At 37.8% G+C, this 23,209-nt stretch overlaps 1 protein-coding gene and 1 long non-coding RNA gene across 9 annotated transcripts in view, besides 1 other annotated feature; one reads left to right on the top strand and one right to left on the bottom strand.

The window, feature by feature from the left end:
- CTNNA3 (catenin alpha 3) overlaps window positions 1-23,209 on the top strand; it is a 1,851,072-nt gene that overhangs the window by 1,487,790 nt on the left and 340,073 nt on the right. The window lies entirely within an intron of this gene.
- Window positions 3,336-3,505: an enhancer, noted in NCBI's record as "experimental_15324 CRE fragment used in MPRA reporter constructs". NCBI's record gives its function as "activates a minimal promoter by MPRAs in K562 erythroleukemia cells, with activity observed for the introgressed 10:68032143 variant allele {active_cell/tissue: K562}" and the evidence as "EXISTENCE:reporter gene assay evidence [ECO:0000049][PMID:34662402]".
- On the bottom strand, window positions 6,850-23,052 carry LOC124902441 (uncharacterized). Its single transcript, XR_007062174.1, has 3 exons — window positions 22,985-23,052; window positions 14,207-14,272; window positions 6,850-6,957 (listed from the first exon to the last, which is right to left on the bottom strand). It is a non-coding gene; the product is annotated as an uncharacterized LOC124902441 (long non-coding RNA).

Raw genomic sequence — 23,209 nt, 5'->3', positions numbered from 1 at the left:
CTTTTCTTTATGTGTCTTCCAGGCTGAGCTTCTGGCTATTTGAAGTTTCATACTCAAACTGCTAAAGGGAAAGACTTTTACAGTTTCAGATAGTCACTAACCAATGTAGAATGTTATCTTATCCAATTACAATTCTCTGGAATTAAGTTTGGAAATGGTCCAATAATGAAAGAATATTGTGTAAAATCAGAAGACCTGAGTTCAAGTCTCAGCTGTACATGTTACCATTTATATTTTTACTTTACATGATGTCATCAGTTTCTTCCCTGCAGGGGAAAATGGAAGAACACTACTGAATTTCTACTTTTAAGTATCATTGTATGTAAAAGTAAAGGACTGAACAGTGTTTCCCAAGATGATGAAAAAAATGAGACTGTCCATGCTTCAAATGCAAATTAGGGCCAAGTTCAGTGGCTCACGCCTGTTTGGGAGGCCAAGGTGGGCGGATTGCCTGAGCTCAGGAGTTCAAGAACAGCCTGGCCAACATGATGAAGCCTCATCTCTACTAAAATACAAAAAATTAGCTGGGCATGATGGTGCGTGCCTGTAGTCCCAGTTTCTCAGGAGGTTGAGGCAGGAGAATTGCTTGAACCTGGGAGGCAGAGGTTGCAGTGAGCTGAGATCATGCCATTGCACTCCAGACTGGGTGACAGAGCAAAATTCCATCTCCAAAAAGAAGGAAAAAAAATGCAAATTAAATAAGACATGGACAATAGAGAAATACAATGATACAATGAAACTCAAAATATGTATTTCAATGTAGTAGCAACTAACAATTAGAAAATATTATTTATAAAGTAGACTATATCACAGCATCCAAAATTATAAAATAAGCGGTAATAATTTTAACAAAACAAATATAATATCTATACTCTGAAAATTATAATACAACATTAAAAAAATTAAAAACACCTAAATATCTGAAGGGATTGATCATATTCCTGAAGTTGGAGATTCAATATTAAGATGTCAGTTATTCCCAGATTGACTTACAGATTGATTTATCACTGTCTTAAATTCTCAGCAGACTCTTTTATGAAAACCGATCATTTGAGGTGGTTACATTGGAGGATACGTTTGCCAAAACTCATCAAACTGCATTTAAAGTTGCATGTAAATTAGATATTAATAAAGTTCATTAAAAAATAATCAACTCCATAGCCAACACCTCAGAAAATAGCTAATTTTAAATAGATAAAATCATACCAAATTACAAATTAGGGCTAATTAGAAAAACTTGCATGGACTATTAAAAATGCTGATATCTCAAATATTATAAAATTAATAATACCTTTCTACTTTATAAGTGACTGTTTGCCAAACATTTCTAATGTATGGAGGTTCTCTTTTATTTTTTATTTCTCATATATGTGAATCATTATTTACTATTTTAGATCAGCAGGTGGCATATTTTGGCCTTTGGGTCACGTTTGATCCACTATATGTTTTGTATGGCCTGTGGCCTAAGAATGGTTTTAATGTTTTTAAATGGTTGAAAAAATTCAAAAGAAGAATATGATATTGTGACTCATGAAAATGGTATAAAATTCTAATTTTACTGTCCATAAATCATATTGAAACGTGACTCAGCCATTGGTTTATATCTATGACTCTGTGCTACAATGGCAAGGTTGAGGAGTTATGAGGAGACTATAATGGCTCACAAAGCTTAAAATATTTACTACCTGACCCTTTACAGAAAAAGTTTACTAACCTTGCCTTAGAGATTTTGTTTTAGCCTTTACGAAAATCCTGCCTGGCTTTTCCAAGAATCCACTCACCTTTTTATTAGTTTTCCTTTATACATCTAATCATCCCAAATATTTGAATATTAGAATTGTCTTTTCTTCGAGGTTCCTGGAGCTACACGACCACCTAGAATGACTTCTGCTAACCCTTTCTATTCACAGTCTAGGGTCCCAGGCTGTACTCTCCACCCTCCTCTACTCTTCTTTTCACCCTCATGGCTTGCCATTCATCCAGGTACTCTTTTTCTCACCCTTTCTTTTCTGGATCAAACTCTTGTTTTTTTGTTTTAATTTCCAAATTTTATATTCATGCCCTGATGCTTTTCAAATAAAGTTGTTTAATTACCAGAACCCACCCTTCTCCAAAGGTTGCAAGGGAGTTTTTACATTCCTTTTGATATTTTTGCATTATTTGTTCAACACGTAAAATTAAATTTTAGCCTCGCCTTTGATTATGGTATGTTTTGAAACTCAATTTTTAAGGTTTATAGAATGTTGAAATTCATCAGCTGTATTCTGTCATGTCATTTTGTTGTTGTTGTTTCATGTTATAGAGAAGTAGACATCCCCTTATTCATGGTTTTGATTTTCATGGTTTCACTTATCTGTGGTCAACCACTGTCTGATAATATTAAATAAGAAATTCCAGAGTTAAACAATTTATAAGTTTTAAATCGTGCACTCTTCTGAGTAGTGTGATGAAACCTCATGCTGTTCCATTCTGTCCTGCCTGGGATGTAAATCATCCCTTTGTCCATCAGATCCATGTTGTCTGTGCTCCCCTCCCATTAGTCATATAGTATTGCAGTTCTTGTGTTCAAGTAACCCTTATTTTACTTCATGATGACCCCAAAGTGCACGTAGTGATGCAGGCAATCCTGATATGCCAAAGAAGCTGTAAAGTGCTTCCTTTAAGTGAAAAGGTGAAAGTTCTTGACTTATTAAGGAAAGAAAAAAAATCATATGCCAAGGTTACTAAGATCTACAGTAAGAATGAATCTTCTATCTGTAGGGTTGTAAAGAAGGAAAAAGAAACTGGTATTAGTTTTGCTATCACTCTTCAGACTCAAAAGTCACAGCCACAGGGTATGATAAGTGCTTAGTTAAGATGGAAAAGGCATTAAATTTGTGGGTGGAAGACAGAAATGGAAATGTGTTCGGACTGATGGCAATCAGATTCATTACTATCCGAGGTTTCTGGCATTCACTGGAGGTATTAGAACATAACCCCTGTGGATAAGGGGGTTGGGGGCAGTGTAGTATTAATTGTGTCTGAAGATTATTGGGATTACAAATGAGTTTACATAAAATAAGTATATGCTAAGTGAGTTTAAAATATAGTGACAGGATGAGTATATATATGTATGGCTTGGCTTGCACAGGACAGTACTGGATTATACTGCCTTTTAAGTGCCCAATTTGGAGAATAAATTGGTAAGCTCACTAGTTTCTGGGTCCTGATGGTACTGCTTGAGGCCCTGTGGTGCATTGTCTCCACCCACAGGGCGACAGTTCCCGGTGCTTGGCACTAATGATCATAGTTCCCTGTCAAGCCAGTTTTTCTAACCCCAGGGAACACTTTCTCTCCATAGTCCTAACGGCTATCAAATGTGCGCTTCTCCCCTTCATGCTTTTCTGATACTTTGTTGACTGTGGAGAATTTATTCAGGCACCATTTCCAATTTATTTAATGTACAAAGACTTCATAGCTTTTCATTTTTCAGTGTTAGGCAGATTTCCTAAGTTCATCTAAGTTACTCTGCTCTTCAACCTCACAGGACTCATGGAATGCCAGTTAAAACACTTTGTCCCTTCTGGAAGTAATATGACTCTTTTCTAGTGTCAGGACCAGTTTGTAAAGAAACCACCTACCAGGGGGATTCCTAAGGGAACTTCGTAAAAGGCCAATAGCAAAGTAACCTTAGTTTTATATGCAAATTTAAATCAAACCTTAGTGGAAAGAAGTCTGTAACAGTACTCTTGCTGCTTCTTCTGAAAACAGAGTATAAGGTAGGGAAACCTTGGAACGCCTGCTGGCACTGGTCAGCAAGAAGTCTTATGCTCTCAGCACATTTAATGGCCCTCCTCTTGTGTATCCCATTTGAAGAAACTTTTGACTAAGGGAGCAGAGGTGACTAGAGTAAGAAAAAGATATTCAGGAAACGTGTTAAGCTACAAAAGCCGCGCTAGTTAGTGATCTCAGTTGCTCATTCTGAGAGAAAGATGTTCAGCTTGAAGTCGTTCTGGGAAGTGCTCTTTCACCAAAGGGTCAACACCACTGGACTGGCAGGGGAGTCCATGGTCCAATAGGACTTTGATGCAGTCTAGTCCTGCACTCAGAGAGCTCTACACAAGTGCAGCTCAGAGCTTTTGACTCAAAGTAGCTGAATATAAGGAGCCAAGCATCTCCCTTTGAAAACATCTCCAGGTGTTCAGGGGAAATGGCTAACATTGTGAATGGAAGGGTAATATGGGGAAGACGGTTACTTGCAGAATCTTAGAGTTTTTGGTTTGCTTTTTGTTAAGTGAATTATTAAATGTCATACTATTATAAACTTGTATAAGTATTAAATAAGTTAGATTTATATTAAGTATTCAATCTAGTAAGTTTTATTATTTTGGTACAAAAACTTGTTTTTATCCTAAAAACTCTTAAGGAATGCTAACCTCTTCAAACATAAAGTTTCTCTGCATATCTACATTTCAAAAACAACTTTTGGAGAGTTGAATCAGCCTTCTGGAGAAAATAATATGGGAATACAACTTATAAAATGATGAATTTTAGAAAACAGACTTTGATGTAGCTAATGGAGGGAGACTGGGAATTTTATAACTCCAGTATCTGTAAACTAAATAATGGAGTTTCAACGGGAAAAATATTCTGGAGTCTGATAGCAAAAGTTCTCTAAGTGAATAGAGGCACTTGAGGTCCTATACTGGTAGGGAAAGTCACAGCAAGAGATTCAGGGTCTTCAGGCACCTGAATGCCTGAAGAACATTTTCTCTTACCATAGGAGAATACAACAGCTCAATGTTTTTATACCATGGGAGCCTTTAGACTCCATAGACTTCCCTTTGTTGATGGAACAGTTATAAACACATAAATCTCAAGAATCACTTTTTGGGCAATTTGTTAAAGAGCACTTATCCTACTACTACTCTTCCCTGCTCCCTGAGATTCAGACACATTGGCCTGCTGGCTGTTCCCCTAATTCCTCAGACAGGCCCATGCTTCTGGCATCTGTCCACTTACTGTGCTCTCTAACTGTGATGCTCTCTTCCAAGACTCTGCACAGGAGGCCTCTTCAGGTCAGCTTCATCCTTGCCTTATCCAACACCCTACACAGATCCTATATAGAGCCACATCTAAAAATAGCATCTCCCACCGCAGCTACTCTTCATCTTCTTGCTCAATTTTATGCTTGCGTAGCGTTTGTCATGATGATTGACGTATTACATATTTATTCATTTATTTATCTGTTTTCTTTGTTCCCACAAAAGAATGTAGGCTATATGAAATAAGGAAGATTCAGACCTTTAAAACAAAGTCTGTCTGGGTACAGTGGCTTATATCTATAATCCCAGCACTTTGGAAGGCTGAGGCAGGTGGAATGGTTGAGCTCAGGAGTTTGAGACAAGCCTGGGCAACATGGTGAAACCCCCGTCTCTGTAAAAAACAGAAAAATTATCCGGGCATGGTGGTGCATGCCTATACTCCCATCTACTTGTGGGGCTGAGGCAGGAGGATGGCTTGACCCTGGGGGATCGAGGCTACAGTTTCTGCCACTGCACTGCAGCCTGGGTGACAAAGTGAGACCCTGCCCCCCCCCCCAAAAAATGTTATAGTGTTCTGCATTAAATAAAGTGGTTGATTTGGTTTCCAAATTGGACATTTGTTCAAAATGTAATCATTAGACCCCAAGGAATTAAGGACAAGAACATGCGATGTTACTTTGTTAAATTTTATACTACAAAAATTAAGGACAGTAGAAACTACCTTGAGATATATTTTCACAAAGAATTAAATTTGCTTGATCTCTTATTTAAGATGGTTTTAAGAGTTCCAAGGATGTGTACTAAGCATTGTATTTTGTGGCCACTAATGTAATTATGAATGCACAGTACATGTCTGTTTGATGCTATTTGTCTTCGTAGAAGCTTCTGCAAAGTCGGATCCGTGTGGTTGTTTTAAAAGTTCTTCATTTCACCTAGTTCAGGTGACAAGATTACTCTTTAAAGATGATGGCAATTGTAGAACAGCCCGGATGAGACTTTCTTAGTGTATGTATTAGTGGCTGGGTTATGGGAAAAAAAGATCCTAAGGATAGAGTTTGTGGAATGTGCCGGAGTGTATTTTATGCACATTATCCTCTATTATCAGTCCCTTGGTGTTATAAGCTCTAAAAAGTCACAAAATTATCTATAAATTTAATGATTAAAGTGTGTTTTATACTGTCTTATATTGCAATGTTTGGAACAGAAATCAGAAATTTAATTAAAGTCATAAAATATAGAAAGATCCCATAACAAAAATTATTTGTAACCTTAAAAATGGCTGTAAAATACATTTTAACAATTCCATAGTGGTCTGTTTACTAAAAAATATAAAATTAAAATAAAACCAGGGATTTTTATATATCTTCTTTTGTCTCTAAAATTAATGGTTTGGGATTAAATTCACGACTCCCATTTACCAAAAACTCACATTGACAATGCATTTACAAATAGCTAATCTCTTCCAGTGGATTTTGCTTATTTAACTCTTAGAGTACAAACTTATTTTAGGTTTGCCTCCGTCTTCAAGGAAATTCCCATTCTTTGGAATATCTTTGTAACCCTATGTAAGTCATGTAGTCTTTTAACTTCAGATTTGCATTTGTAAAATGGGGATAACAAAGATACCTACGTAAGGATGGTTCATCAGAGTTTAAAAGGGTTAATGTATGCAAGCCATTTAGTAAAATTTCTAGGGCATTGTAACTGCTTAGTGAGTATTAGTTTTTGTAGTAGTTAGAATAACAAATACTACTTGCTGTAATACAACCCCCAGATCTCAGTAGCTTATTGCAATGATGGTTTATTTATCAACCTTACGTTGGTCTGATGCCAGCCTGTTTTCCTGAATAGGTCTCTACAAGGTAGTGACTCAATGATTCAGTATCTTTCAATCTTGTGATTTTGCCATCTGTATAAGCTGGCCTCCATGTCACTGCAGAAATGGGAGAGAGAGTAGATAATTGAATAGGAAGTTTGGTGGCCAGACCTCAATGCAATGTACTTTCCTCTACATCTCATTGGACAAAATCCATCAAAAGGACCTGAATAAACTGCAAAGGAGCTGGTGAATGCCCTCTTCCTCTGTGCCTAAGAAGAAATAGGACTGATGAACACATAAACATTCCTTGTCACACTCTTTGTTCCAGTTATTATTGCTGCATAACAAATTACTCCACACATAATGGTATAAAACAACCATCAATGTATCATGCTCTCACATTCTATGGGTCAGGAATTTAGAAAGGGTACAGACTCCTTCTTGTGCATGTCTGACATCTGGACTAAGGAGTAGAAGACTGAGGAAGGTGACATTTAGCCTCTTATGGGGCTTGGCTTTCTCACAGCATGGTAGCCACTGGATAGTCGGGCTTTTTGTGTGACATTTCAGGGATCCAAGAATAAGTTACAGTTAACAAAGCACACGCCATATTGCCTTTTGTATCCTAACTTTGGAAATCATAGAGTGTCACTTCTGTCATAGTCTTGGTTACAAGCAAGTTAAAAGCCTCCCGGATTCAAAGGAGAGGAGACACGAACCCCATCTTTCAATGGAAAGAGTGTAAAGGTCAAAAGGAGCATGTGAGATGAGGAATAATATTGTATCCATCTTTAGAAAATACAAAGTGACCCACTTCTGTCATCGTGCTCTTATTATCATAGTCATCATCATCATTATTATCATCATCATCATCATCATTTTCAACAATAACAGTTATTTTTTAACAATTATGTGACCATAAGTCAATTTAAACAGTCTTTTGCTTATTAATTAGTAAAATAAACCAATCCAAAGAGTCTTAAATCACTTCAGATAATCATTTGTTTAATGACAGGTAAAGATTTAGAGGTATAATTAGTCAAATATTTTAGTGAATAGAATATTAAATTGCCATACTTTAATGTCTTTTATAAATATAGCTGCTGCCAATTTAAGATATTAAGCTATACATAATCTTTTTGATACCCTCTTCTAAATAAAACCCTTTGAAATAATAATAGCTAGAAAGTATAAAACAGAAAAAAGTCTTGAGGAGGGTATGTGGAATGTGAGATTATCATGAACATGGGAAACATACAATGAAGAAGACATCATATTGAGAAGTAATTTTCTATCCTGTACAGGATACAGTCAATCACTTGAAAAATGGCTGAGTATTTTCTATCTTTTAATCACTGTGCTAGGTTTTAAGAACGCAAACATGGTTGAGTCATGATCTTTGCTATCAAGTAATTGGCATTCTCATAGAATAAAGAGGTACATAAGCAAATGACAGGAATACATTGTGATAAGTAATATAATGGAAGCACATGGAATCATGTTTTAAAATACAGAGACTTTAAATTCTGCCATGGAGAAAATTATGCAAAGATGTAGCCATTTGTTGACATTCCAGTTGGGCTTTGATGAATGAGTCAAGAGTTGGATAGTTGGAATTATGGCTCAGCACATTTGCAAGGATACGGAGGTCAAGACAGGAGAAAGAACTACAATTAGGTGAAGGGTACCTGGACGCCAGTGTACAGGTGGAGGAGGAGTAGAAACATAAGCAGAGTTAAAATTTTTAAGAGTCTTCATGCATGTCAAAGAAACATGACCTTGCTAAATGGCGAGAGGAACGGAATTACTAGGCTTAGTATAGAGTGTTCAAAATTCATCCTGTATGGTTGGGATGGCAGCATAGTCATCCCTTTCAGTTCCTCAGTCACCTGCCTTAAGCCGCCTAATATTTAAAAATTGAGATTCTTTAAGCAAGAGAGAAGGGATAAGAAATTATCGAATAGATGACAAACAATCTCTTACAATATATTTACTACTAAAGGAGGATAGAAATTTCAATCAAATACTAATTATACCATTTATGCCTCACTAAATTTACTGATCAAATGTAATTTTCAGGGATTTCTCTTTCTCAGGATATGGAATCTCTTTAAAAGTGACTTCAGAAGAGTGATACAGGTAATACTAATAATGATACTAACAATAATAATAGAAAAAAATGAGGCTTGTATTTGGAACAAGCGTTTTTGTATTTGCAATGAGCTGAAGCCAAGCATATGTCAAAAGTATTTCTAACCATCTAAAATCTCAGAGGAGATTTAGGAAATCAGACTGGTAGTCAGGCATGTTCACTACTAGAGCAGCCAAGGTGAAGGGATTGAAGTGCTGTCTCACCAGTTTCAGGGACTCATTGAGTCTGTTCCAAGGTATAACATGTCTCTGATTACGGAAAATGTTGGTGTTAAATTGACAGAAGTAATTGCTAATCAAAATGCAAGTAGGAGATGTAAATGCAAAAACATATGAACTCACCAATTAATGCATAGAGAATAATTTTCTCCTTCAAATGCCTTATTTATTAAATCTGAAGCCTTACATTTAGCTTCAAAAGAACCACATCAATCAGAGAAGGCTGAAAGACAGTGTGTTAGGCTGTGGTGAGCACAGGATTAGAAATCAGAAGACCTTGATCCTGGTCTCAGCTACGTGTTATAGTAGCTCTGGAGTCCTGGGTTTCTCCCTTTGATGCATTGTTACATGGTGTTCTAATATACAAGGGAGGGGATTATCACACTTGCCTTACTTATGGCACGTTTTCAGAGCCCCTTCCTTCCTTCCTTCTTTCCTTCCTTCCTTCTTTCCTTCCTTCCTTCTTTCCTTCCTTCCTTCCTTCCTCCCTCTCTTTCTCTCCCCCCCTTCCTCTCTCTCTTTTCCCTTCTTTTCCTCCCTCCCTCCCTCTCTCCCTCCTTCCTTTCTTTCTTTTTCTTTTATCCATTTATTGTCTTTTTATTCACTTATTTTGTTGTTTTATTGAGTACGTACTACGGGCCAATAAATCTATCGAACACTTAGCCATATGGAGATAGATAAGACAGATAAGATTTCCATTTTCATGGAGTTTACATTTTTGTAGAAAGAGACAGGGAGTAAAGAAAGATATGGATAAAGTAGTTATGATGAGTGATAGGAAGGAAGCAGGATGATATGATGAAAAGAAAATTGGCCTAAGAGATAAATCACTTTCAGTCAAAGCAGTCTTTTACACTCTGAGGAGATCGAATTTTAGTTAGTTAGTAAGGATAAGAGTGTGGCAGCAATTTTAAAACACTGAAGGAATGTTTCAGGCAGAGAAGAGTAATTGCAAAGATGCTAAAATTTGGAATTGCTTGTTATACCTAAAGAACAGGAAGGAGGCACTGTTTCTAAAAGTTACTGAATGGAGGAGTAGAGTGGTAAGAGTTTAGAAAGGAAGACAGACAATAAGTTATTTTGACATTTTCATACATGCTAGGCTGTTTGAATTTTGTTCCAAAGCATTGATAACTATTGTAATAGCTTTAACAGGGGAGGGGCATGATCCAATTTGCATTTTAAGAAGTTTCCTCTTGATTTTGTTGAATGTTGACTTTCCAAAAGTATGTTAATCAAGCAGTACTACCACTAAGACTTAGTGTGATAAAGGAGAATACCACCTTGAAGTGAGTTACCTACATCCATGTAGCTAATTAATGTCAAAGCTGGGATTAGAATTCAGGTCTCCTGACTCCAAATTCAGTGTACTTTTGGTGTTATCACAACCAAGTAACCATAATAGGTTTGTTGGCCAATATGTGGATAACTCAAGGTGGGAAAATTAGAGAAGCATTTTAAAGCCTGTGCTGAGTGATTTTAAAGTGTATCTTGCAAGAGAGAGAACTGGTTGGATTGTGGTGATAAGTAGATTTGGATGAGTGGACAAAATGAATTGAAGGTTTGGTAGTAAATCTTAATGAGCTTACTAGTCTTGATAATTGGTCAGTTTAACTGTTTCAGTTTTCTCTTCTAGGAGCAGGTATTTCCTGGAGAAAGCAGCTAAGTATTGTTTTGCTTGCTCTTAGTATTATTAACACAGGAGCAGGAAGGTCTGCCCAGTTCCTGTCCCTGTGGGACAGAGGATTATGTCGTTTTCAGTTCTCACCAATCCATAGGAAGTATGTTATTGGAAATGGAGGATGGGCAAGAATAGATGTGAGGATACCAGATATGAGTCTGTTGTATTTCTCCAGGCAACAGGTAATGTTGCCATATACTAGAGCTGCACTGTCCGATATAGTAGTTACATGTGACTTATCAAGCACTTGAACTTCGGCTATGTGAAATGAGATGTGCCATGTAAATGTACGACACACAACAAATTTTGAACATTTATCAAGGAAAAATGATATAAAATATCTCAAATATATTTATATTTTACATGTCAAATTAATGTCAATAATATATTTTAACCAAATATATCCAAAATATTATCACTTTGACTTACACAAATTATTTTTAATATGACTACTAGCAAGTTAAAAATTACATATGTTGCTTGCATTGTATTTATATTAGTAATGCACTAGAGAATTGCAGAAGAGGTAAACAAATTCAAAACATATTTTAGAGGTAAAATTGACTGAAATTGCTGGGAATGAATGTGGGATTGAAGGAAATTGGGAAACAAATGTGGCTTTGGGGTTTCTTGTTTTGGGGCATTGTGTGTGTGTGAAAGTAACTTATGGATTTAAGGAAGACTTGGAGGAATCTGTTTCGGGTAGAAGTCTCATTCCAATTTAGTGGCCTTTAGATATTGAATTTGCTCATTTCATAGTTATATTATATCAGCCATTGGGTATATGATTTTGGAATTTAGAGCATAAGTTTGACCTATGATAGGAATTGTTTTTTTCTTAGGATGTAATAACATATAGACAGGGTATATTAGAGCAGAAAATATGATATAGAAGCAAACACATTTAGAATTCATGTTGAAGAGGAGGAGCTAACAAAGGAGATTGGCAAGAAATAACTGGGAAAGATAGAAAACCGAGAAACGGCTGTCTCAGAAACTAAGGCAAGTGTATTTAAATTGTGCACAATATAACTTAGAAGACTTAAAAAGATAACAAGAAAATATGTTCATTGCATCTGGGAATATAGATGATCAAGTAGGTAATGTATGTTTAGATATTCAGTGAATTGGTGTCAGGGTTTCCTGGAATTGATGACTAAAGCTGTAGCTGGCAAAAAGAGCTAAACACTCTAATTGCAGGTTGAGAAAACTGCCAGCCTGTGAGGACCAGCATACTTCCACTGGGCTTAGATATAATGAGAGGATTTGGGACAGGGAGAGGGGATTAGACTTCCAAAATGTGCAGTGTTTAGAGAGGTTAAGCTGTTCTCTCCTTTCTCTTTGGGTTACTTTATGTTGTCCTTACAATATAATAAAGGAAAACAAAAGATACTCTGATACCCTGACAATGACTGAACCCATATTCTGTAAAGTGGTCTCTTTATACTTTATATAAGCATAAAGTGACACAATTGTAAACAGTATAGATAGTGTTATGATAAGAACTTCTAGTTGTTAATGACTCTTAGTGTGTCTCAAATCTAGCCCAGTCTTTTGTTGTTGTTGAAATATGTTATATTTTCTTGGAAAGCCTCTTCTTTCTTATATCCTTATGAATATCTGCAGGGAGCCATTAGTCTTTGCCTTGTGCACTTTCTGAAAATATTTTCTTTAGATTTTTTTGGAGAGACTTGCTTTGTTCCAATATGCTCTGCAGAATGCTTCCCCCTGCTGTGTTCTGTTACCCCCAATGATGGCTTTTGCCTAGCTCTCTCAGTTCTTTCTCTAATGTAAAGACAGCTCTACCTGTGTTTCCTCTTCCAACCGTATGTCTGTTATCATAATTAGTTTTCTTATCATAGATTCAATGAGAATAATAGTTTCAAATCACTTTGAGAAGAAAGTATTTCTGCTTGGGTCACAGCTTAAACAGATTCACCCACGGTCTACTTCAAGGCATTTCCTGTGTGAGGCTAATGAACCTTCCTCCACTTCAGTCATCTCTCCTGTTTATAACTTTAAGTCCAGTATGTGGTAGATTACAAAGCCACATTGAAAAAAAACCTTATATACATAAAATAAATATCAGTTAATAAAAATGTTTAAAGTAATATTCCTATTATAAGAATAATACACTCTTGTTATACCAAATTAAATAATATAGGACAGTTTATAGTACAAATTTTAGCCTCACTACCCCTCTAGCTCAGATTTTTCTCTTCCAGGGCTAATTGCTTCTCAATAATTTTGTATGTATCCTTTAATATCATTTTCTACATAAATCATATTCATTTATGTATATGTATCTTTGGTTTTGCAAAAAAAAAGACCATTCTATGGCTGTTGTTATAAAACTTGATTTGATTTTTATAATTTTACAATAAGTCATACATTAAGTTCTCTTAGTTAAAACCCCAAATAAAAGTTAGTGTGGATCCATACCAACTACTGTTGACACAGCTCCTTCTTGTAAGCTTTTCCTTAGGTAAGCAAAACATGAAAGAATAAAGGGGAAAGACAAAGGCAACACACCAGAAAAAAATGAAAACAAATAGTTATTTGAAGGTTTAGATTTAAAAATATGGAAAAACCAATATAATTTTATTAATGGAACATTGTGATGCTGTAAAAGTTGCATCATAAAACCATGAAATGATAATGCTAAGTTGAGGGAAAAATTGCCTATCTCAAAATCCTTGGAGGGCTTTGAGGCCTTCAGAAGTGAAGTGAGTTACCTATATCCACGTAGCTAATTAATGTCAAAGCTAGGATTAGAATTCAGGTCTCCTGACTCCAAATTCAGTGTACTTTTGATGTTATCACAATCAAGTAACCATAATAGGTTTTTTTTGCCCAATATGTGCAAAAAGTCAATATGCTGAGACACGAGGTTACAGCAGAGAAAGAGGTTTAATGGTTGGGCCATCGAAGGAGAAGATGGGAAGGAACCTCAAATCCATCTCCCCAGGTAGTTTGGGGCTGGGTTTTTAAGGGTTTTGGAGTGGGTCAAAGTGTGGAGATTGTTAATTGGTGGAAGAGTACAGGGGGAAGTCATAGGATGGGGAGAGGAAGAAACCATCTCATGTTGATTCTGTTCCTCTGTGGGGGTCTTCAAAATGGTTGTCATCAGCTGTTTCACTGGAATTGGGGATCCGAAGAACATCTTTAAGCAATTCTTAAAGAAAAGCCTTATGATTCTGATGTCAGAGATTCTATCTATAAGAACAGTGGGAATGGGGATACAAATATTCAGGATCTAGTGACTTTCAGTTACAAGGAAGTGGGTCAAAGTGCAGCCTGATTAATACTTACTTATAGCCATATTTCTGTCCAGAATTCTTGTTAACCCCTGAGAATGCCTTCAACCATAAGTTCATACTAACAGAAAGACAAGCAAAACACGTTATATTAATTAAATACAATTGTAATACAATGTGTTTAATACAACATATTTTATTAATTAAAGGCAATTTGAAAAATATTACTTAAAGAATTGCATTTGAAATCATTGGCTAAGAATAGGAATATAACATAAGGACTAGAAAAAGAGACAAGTGACAAGTAGCTTGGAGGGAAGGTCAAATTAGTTTCTCTGTAAAAGAAGATGAGGTAGGAAGATCAAGGGAAATAATTTAAATGTACTGAATTTACTTAAGAAGTGAAGCAAAGAGAAAATGCCCTTCAGTTTAAAATAAAATTCCCAACAGAAGCTGAGAAGATCAAGTAAAGGTAAAAGTTATACCCTTGAGCTGCTAATAATGAAATCTAGCCTGAGGGAAGGAAGTTTTGTTGAGAGATCACTACCTGACAGGAACTTCACATACATTCTCTCATTTTACCTTAAAGCAACCCTTGAGGAAGGGACTTGGAAAACCATTTTATGGATAGGAAAGAAAACAAATAACTTAAAATTACTCTCCCAAAGTCACTCTGATATACACTGTTCCAACAGGGTGAAGACTCAGGTACTTTTGTCTTGGCCGCAAAGTCTGTCTTCATTGTGCACCACGTACTGCCTATATTAATCAGGAAGGTGAAATGATCTCTATGTCAGATCTAGAGTTTCTGAATATGGAAGTGTGAGAGATTAATTTCAATATATATGAGCTATCCTTAAAATTTTGAAAATATAATTAAATCCAATTATAAAGATACGATTAAGAAAAAAATGATGGTTTATAGGACATTGCATACACTTTTACAAGTGTTCTGTAAGTAGAAACTTCCTGTCATTTACCTGTTCTGCTTTTTCCTGCTTTGACTCTGTTTAAAGCTTGAAGAAATTTGAGTAGGTAAGACATAGGAATTAATAGTGTAGGGACCAAAGGGAAAACTTCCCTTTTGTCCTCTGAAGGTTTACTGAAAAATCAACTGACAAATGGCAAATTAATTGGAGAAAGGGCATACAGATTTATTAATGTGTACACAGTGAGAATCACGGAGTGATTACCTATCCCCCAAATAGGGTTTAGAAGCTTATATATCATCTTTTGTGGGTACAGAAAGAATGGGAACTTAGGTCTTGGCAAAACAGGTTATAGGAGGGAGGAAAAGAGGAATTCTGTTGACAGGCAATAAATGACAACTAGGGAGAATGAATGGATTGGAGGGCAGAGATGATTAACTTTAAGATATTTCTCCATGGAATTTGAATGAGCCTGAGAGACAGACATTATCTTGTGAAAGGGTCTATTCAAGTGTGGTTACATTTTTGGCCTTCTTTTCTGTAATAGATAATGAGATAATAGTAAGGAGAAGAATAAACAGTTGTTCTCCTGGTGGATCAGTACTTTAGGCAGATAAAGGGACTTCAGGCAACAACTCATCCTGTGCTTTGGGAGAGACAATGGGGAAGTGAGAGGTCAGAGAGACCTTGAGGTTTCTTCAGTTCTGCATATCGAAGCATGTATTTTGGGGTATCAGTTCCTAAGCCCCAACAATAGCCAAGGAAAAAAGCAAAGCCTGAAAAGTTGCTTTTCATTAAGGTTTCTAATTGCAGCTCAACTCTTTCGTTTACACTCTGATTTTGCAGGTGGGCCCAATATAGAGACTTGGAGTCAACATGGGTTAGAAATAGACTCTATCATAGAACTTGTCTATTTTCCCACAATTCTGATAATATTTTACACAAATACAGACATGCTTTGCAGTCAGTTATGTAATAGTCAATATAGTGAGGCACTGGAGATTGCAGCAGAGAAAGTGTTTAATAATCTTAAGATAGCCACAGGAGGAGATGAGAGGAAACCTCAAATCCTCTTCTCTAAAGAATCTGGAGCTAGGTATCTAGGGTTTGAAGTAGACTGAGGTGTGGGAATCACTGAGTAGTTGAAGAGTGCAGGGTGAAGTTATGTACTTTTGATAATAGGGAGGTTGAATTACTTCTAAATTCCTCAGATAAGAAGTTTTGCCTCTGGATGGCCTGCTTGATAGTCTCCAGGTGATCTTTCCTCTCCTTATTTTCTTCCTGAAAATATCTTGGTCAAATCTTTGACCCTTTGTGTTCCCCCATGCTCATGTCTACCTGCTGCCTATTACAGTCTCAAGAAACAGAAAATAGCACAGTGAAGAGGGGCCCCAGGTCTGTCTGGTTACTTCCTGCTGAAAGGGGATAGTGAGTGGATAAGTTGTATTTTTCCTTTTCTCTCTGTTGTCATGAAGGGAATGAGGATCATGAAAAACTTGTTCATGGGGAGAAGAAACGATTCCATTAAGAGGCCCCATGTAAATGGAAGTTGCTGTTGCAGGCCGATATTGGGATTGCATAGTCATCTGTAGGTGGAATCGTAACCTGGATGATATAAACTTAATGAGAGCATTAAAAAGGCAGAGACCAAAGATTAAAAGAAGAGTAACAAGGAATAAAGGTCCAAGTAATAGGAGAAGCCATGTGATTTTTAGAAACCAATCAGTAGAGGTTTTGGCCCAGTAGTGGTTACTTTAGGAAAGTGTGTATAGCCATGTGGCTTGTTTGAAAATTTTTTTGGACATTAGTTTTCACTTCTCTTTTTCCGCATTCCTGTACAGAAAAGAGAAGTGGAACATGTTTTATTGATGAACGCACAGACTCCTTTTTTAGCTAGGGGGTAATTAGCAGTGAAGCAAAGCCATAAGATCCCAGGAGGGTTAATATATTTTTAAGGTTTCTTAGACTAAGAGGGCTACCACTGCTAAGGCTCTTAAGCTGGGAGGTGGGGAGGGATTCCTAGGATACTAGGTCTAAAGCTTTTGAAAAATATGCTGTGGGGTGCTTAGAGGGCCATAGATCTTAGGCTCACTCTCAAAACTATCCCCCTTCATTTGTGTACGTAAAAAAAGAAAGGCTTAGTCAGATCAGGTAGGGCTAAGGCTGGGACTGAGATTACAGCCTGTTTTTAAAGTGTTTAGAGCATGCTTCACATTATTAGTCCACGATAGAGGTTGTTCCTCACTTCCCTGGAGGGCTTCATATAAAGGTTTTCCTTTTAATCCAAAGGAAGGAATACATATTCTGTAAAACACAGCCATACCCAAAAAGGACAGAAGCTGTTGTTTAGTTCCTGGAGTTGTCATGTTTAAGATAAGATCTTCAGGAGCGCTAGAGAGGCTCTTTGTACCAAGGGTTAAAATAAGGCCCCAAAAGTGAACGCTTTCTGTGAATATTTGTACCTTAGAAGGAGATACTTTGTATCCACAGTCAGCAAGTTTGTTTGATACTAACACTGTATTTTTGTCTAAAACAGCCTTGTTAGGACTACAGATTAGTAGGGTCATCCACATAAGGGAGTAGATTGCTGTCTTGGAGAAGCTGCAGGGTAGACAGGTTTCTAGCTAGGGCCTGTCCGAAAAGGTGGAGGCTATCTCTGATTCCCTGGGGCAGAATTGTTCAAGTTAAGTGTTTTGCCATTCCCTGGGGCAGAATTGTTCAAGTTAAGTTATTTGCCATTCAAAAGCAAACAAAAATTGGCTATCTGATTGTACAGGAATGCAGAAAAAGTCATCCTTAAGATCAAGTACAGTAAACTAAGCTGTGGTGGAGAGAGTCTGTCCAAAAAGGGTATAAGTGTTTGGGACAATAGGATGAATCAGAATAACAGCTTCATTAATAATTCTAAGGTTTGTGCTAGCTGATAGGAGCCATCTGATTCCTTTACAGCTAAAATGAGAGTTGCAAGGTCAGTTGCATGGGTGCAATAATCCATGGGTTAAAAATTTTGTTATTAGGGGCTGTAACTCTTTTCATGCTTCTGGTTTCAAGAGGCATCAGGGAGTCTGAAGAACTTATTGGGAATCTGAAGCTGAATGAATACAAGAGCAGCTGATATTGATTGACCAGGAAGAGAAGTATTCCAACTTCAAATGGCACTTGTTTTAGAGTTTGAGTTTCTGTAGACTGCAGTTGCTCTTTTAGTGAAGTGTGAGTTAATACAGCTGGAAGGTGAGGGCTTCGTTGTAAATTAGCATGTAATTTTGTGTTAAGTCATGGCCTAATAATGGAACAAGGCAGCTTGGCACGACTAAAAGGAATGAGGAAAGGAATAGCCTTCCATTTTACAAGGGAGTGGCAGTGTAAAACAGCCTCCTTGGGGTTTTCCATCAATACCTGTGAGAAAAATGGAGGACTGGCACATTGGGCCATAGTAAATGTTTAAAGATGAATAACTGGCCCCTGTATCTATGAAGAACATTATCTCTTGTTTAGCCACAATCAGATTTACTCTAGACTTATCCATAGAGATGGAAAAGATAGGGGCTGGATGGCCTCAAGGCCCCATCAGTCATCTAGAGGATGAATTTCAGAGGCTTGATTATAATCCAGGAATAGAGTTAGAAGAGCTTGTCCTTGGCATTGCCCTCGTCCCCATTCTGCAGGACTCCCTTGTTAGGTAGATTGATAAGGCTGTAGCTGTGACAGCCCAGAAGGAAGAGGTGCCCCACCTCATGAGGGAGAGAGGGTCACTCGCTCTTCCGATGACCCTCTTATTTCTAGTGAGGACAGGCTTCCAGGGTTGGCTTGTAACCTGGAGGTTAGGAACCTTTTCTACTCTAGTGTCCTGGATTTCTGCAGCAATAACAGGTCCCCATTCTGTTAGTAGCATAGGGATGAGCCCTGGGTTTATTAGTTAATGAAAAAGAATGTGCCAGTGCTGTCGCCATGTAATTAGTTGGCGACGGCATTTTTTCTCCTCCAATTTACGCTTTTTTTTTTTGAGACAATGTCTCACTCTTGTTGCCCAGGCTGGAATGCTATGGCACAATTTCAGCTCACTACAACCTCTGCCTCCCGGGTTCAAGCAATTCTCCTGCCTCAGCCTCCTGAGTAGCTGGGATTACAGGCATGTGCCACCATGACCGGCTAATTTTTGTATTTTTTAGTAGAGACGGGGTTTCTCCATGTTGGCCAGGCTGGTCTCGAACTCCCAAACTCAGGTTATCCACCCGCCTCGGCCTCCCAAAGTGCTGGGATTACAGGCATGAGCCACCGCGCCCCAAGCACCTTTTTTATTTTTGATATTTCCTTCCAATTATTGAAAACTGGAAAGGCTGCATTTAATAAAGTAGGAAAAGGAGTTTGTGGGTCTTCCTCTAATTTTTGGAGTTTTTGTCTGACGTCTTTGGATGCCTGACTTAGAAAGTGTACAGCCAGAATGGATTGGCCTGCAGGGCTTTGGGGGTCTAAATTTGCATATTTTTGCATAGTGTCCAGCAGTCTAGCTTGTAAAAGGGCAGGATTCTCAGATGGCTCCTAACTGACTTCTCATAATTTAGAAAAATTAACAGGTTTTCTTACGGTCTTTTTCATTCCTTCCAACAAACAAGTTATTATATAATCTCACCTGCCCCTGCCTCTGTCTGGGCCAACATTGGTGGCCTGGTGTTGCCAGTTGGGTTCTGTGTCAGGGACAGCTTCTTCCCTGGCTATATTATCATTAGGATTACGAGCATGAGTTTCATCCACCTAAGCTCAAACTAAAGGCAAGATTTTTCTTCGCGGGAACATCAACTAGTTAATACCACAAATATATCTTGCCACGTTAAAACAAAGGAAATAGTTAAGGCCTGAAATTCTTGAATTAACTTAGAGTGCTCCTGGCTAAATGAACGCAACTGGGATGGAATTTGCAAAAGATCCAATATTGGAAATGTGCATGAATTCGAATTTTTCCCAAATCTTCATTTGCCACCTTATGGACAAGGAAAACATTTTGGAGGTTTTCTGAGGACTCTGTACTAGTGGCTTATGTAACTCCTGTGCAAGTATATGAGGAGGATAAAGTATCTGTTTATGGGGAGAGGGTGATGATTGGGGGATGAAGCAGATGGAAAGGGTGTAGGTAAAGTGGGAGCAGGATGAGGAGAGTGTGAGAGGCAAATGGAAGGATCATCTAAGACATCAGAATCGGGTAGAGAAGAAGTTCTTTGGAAGATTATGCAATTTTTATGTAATTTTACGTATCAGATAAAGCCCAAAAGACCTGAACATATGGGGTCTCTGAATATAAAAGTTTAAAGAGTTTGTGGGTCAAAATGGGACCACTTTATAAGAATGCAACCCAAGGGCAAATAGGATAGAACTGAAGAATGAGTTGAACCCATGTTGGGTTTAGATACGGCACTATAAGATTCCTGAAGTGCCTGCGAGGGATTTTGACCTCCCTTTTCCCTTTGCTCACTCTATCTGGGGGTGCCTACCATGGATAGAGGGCCTACCCTTGCCTGGATGAGCAGTCTAGGCCTGCCCTTGTTTGAGTGATCAGCTCAAACCTAATGTGAAGGAGAACTTGTCCGTGACTTGCGATGTGATGTCTGTGACAAAGTTCAATTCAAAATGGGGTCCACAACCAGCAGATTGTGTCTGTGCAGAGTTGATTTTGCTGCTGCTCATTTCCAAGGCACGGTTTACAGTGTTAAAGTGAAGGTGGACTTGCCACCCTTGGAAGGGGGCAATAGTAAATTTGCTTTTTTGTCTTGGCCTTTGGATAATACCAAGGAGTGCACTCAGCCAGAAACCCTCAATTGCCAAAGAGTACTTAAGCTGGTTCACTGGTAATTCAAAAATGGAAAAGAACCCTGGCCAGTTTCTCGGCCCCAAGGGCAGAGACAGACAGACACTCCTTCTCTAGGGCTTCAGGATCCCACTGAAGAGTGGCCTCAGCCAAAGATCATTGGTTTCTAAGAGTAAAGTACCAGACTGTTGAGGGAAGCAGAGAGAAAAAAGAAGGGAGAAATCCCAGTAAAGTCCCAGGATGAGTCAAAAAGATGCCCGGCAGGGTGTCAGAGCCCCAGCATCAGAAAGTGGTTGACTCTCAGGTTGGCAAGAAGAATTTATTGACAACAGTATAGGTTTGAAAAGGAAGGTTTTATTAGATAGAAAGCATGCTGCAGAAGAGTACAGCGAGGCACCTCAGCAAGGGAGGACTGAGTGTGAAGCGGTGGATTTTCCTTAGGGGTTTTTATGGACTTTAAAGTGGGAGCTTAAGGGTATTTTGAACCGTATTAGCCATGTAGGTCATGAGGAATGATTACATTTATAGATATTTTGGTGCCTTGATGTCAGCAAGGGTTGCACAATGAGTTTCAATATGCATACATTCCAGAGATCTATAGAAATTCTAGTTACTTACAAAGTTTTGGGAAAAGAGCTTGGTACCAGATGCATGCTTTTGATAATAGGGAAGTCAAATTACTTCTAAATTCCTCAGATAAGGAGTTTTGCCTCTGGATGGCCTGCTTGATGGTCACTAGGTAATTTTCCTCGAACAAGATGCCTTCATCCTTCAGGGAGTGTATTTAGTAGTGTTGTCTGTCTTGGGAGGTAAGATTGTTGAGAAAAGTCTCAGGGAATAGGCTTTCCTGGACCATATAGGGAAAGCAGAGAAGGCATCTGAGGCTCCACATCCTCTTCCAAGATGAGCACTTTTAGTGGGTAATACCAAAATCCAAGTGGGAGGCAAGGCCTATAACCACAGACTATCATCATTTGAGTGATAATTTGTCATCTATGCTGAAATCCTTCTTTTTTCCTCTTGCAACCATCAGAGATAGTTGCCCGCATAGTCCCTGGAATATGCACAAGGGACTCTCTGATATCTCCAGATTTTGTTCCTTTCTGTTGGAATCACTATAAGGTCAAGTTCCTTTTTAATAATTCATGACACTTATTAACTTCCCACCCATCCAAAAAGCAAAAGAAACACACAGACACACAACGTGCACACACACAGAAACACACATGCATACACCACAAAGACATATCTTGAACACCTAAAAAATGCAAAACTATTGTGAAAGAAACCTTCATAGCACCAGTACTGTGGTGCACACAGTTTAACCAGTTTGAGGTGCCTGCCTGCTACTGAGATACAGCAGTGAACTCTTCTACCATTTCAATGAGATATCCTTCTGAGTTCTCACAGGCTGTTTAACTTCCATCTAAGTTTATAATTGGATAGTGTAGGTAAATGGAGTTAGAAGGATTCCAGTGGCCATACAGAAGCTTGTGGTATAGTAAAATGAACCTTGAGATCTAATTAGAACATATGATCAAAGCTTGAAAAAAAGAGGGAGGGTGAGAAAACAAAGAAGAGGCCTGCAGGAGCCTTTTGAAGAGATGTATTGTCTTTCTGCATCTGCTTGGCCATTACATAGAATATTAATGTGCATTTGCACTTGGTGGTAATGATAGGGGTGTTGACATAGTTGATCAAAATTGTTCCACCAGCTATGATGATGGATTGCTCCTGTCAGGAGAGCCAGTTAGAAATGTCTACATCAGATGACAAAGGGAAAAATGTATCATTGATTTGAATCCAGATAATAATCTTGTCTGAAAGAAGACATGTTGCTCTTTAGACAGCAGAATAAAAAGTATGTTCTAAATGAGTAGAAATTATGGTGAAAACAACTTCATTCTGTGTGCAATCCACTAACTACCCTCCCTTACCCTCTTCAACTGAGACTTTAGGCAAATTATGTAAACAGTTTGTATTTTCAGCTAGAAAATGCATACCTCTCTATCTCCCAAAAAGTTGTTCTCAGATTAAATAAAGATAATAAATATGAAAACGATTTAAAACAAAAATGCAGATTTAAAGGAATGTTAATATTTACCTGATGGCTGGAGCCAGAAATGTGGCCATCATCCTCCGATGGTTCCTTTTCAAATTATTCACCAAGTCCTTCCACCTCTTGACACTCAGTAATTTTGTCATTCCACTAGACCCGCTTCACTTTATCTATAATAATTTTTATTCGTTCTTGGTTCTTTGTTTGGATGCCACTTTCTTCTGCAAGAATTTTCTAAACCCAGTTTACGAATTAGGTATTCCCATATAT

The sequence above is a fragment of the Homo sapiens genome, chromosome 10 (genome assembly GCF_000001405.40).
Source record: "Homo sapiens chromosome 10, GRCh38.p14 Primary Assembly".
Lineage (NCBI taxonomy): Eukaryota > Metazoa > Chordata > Mammalia > Primates > Hominidae > Homo > Homo sapiens.
Note: the sequence above shows the minus strand (reverse complement) of the source record. Positions and strands in the feature narration are given on the sequence as shown.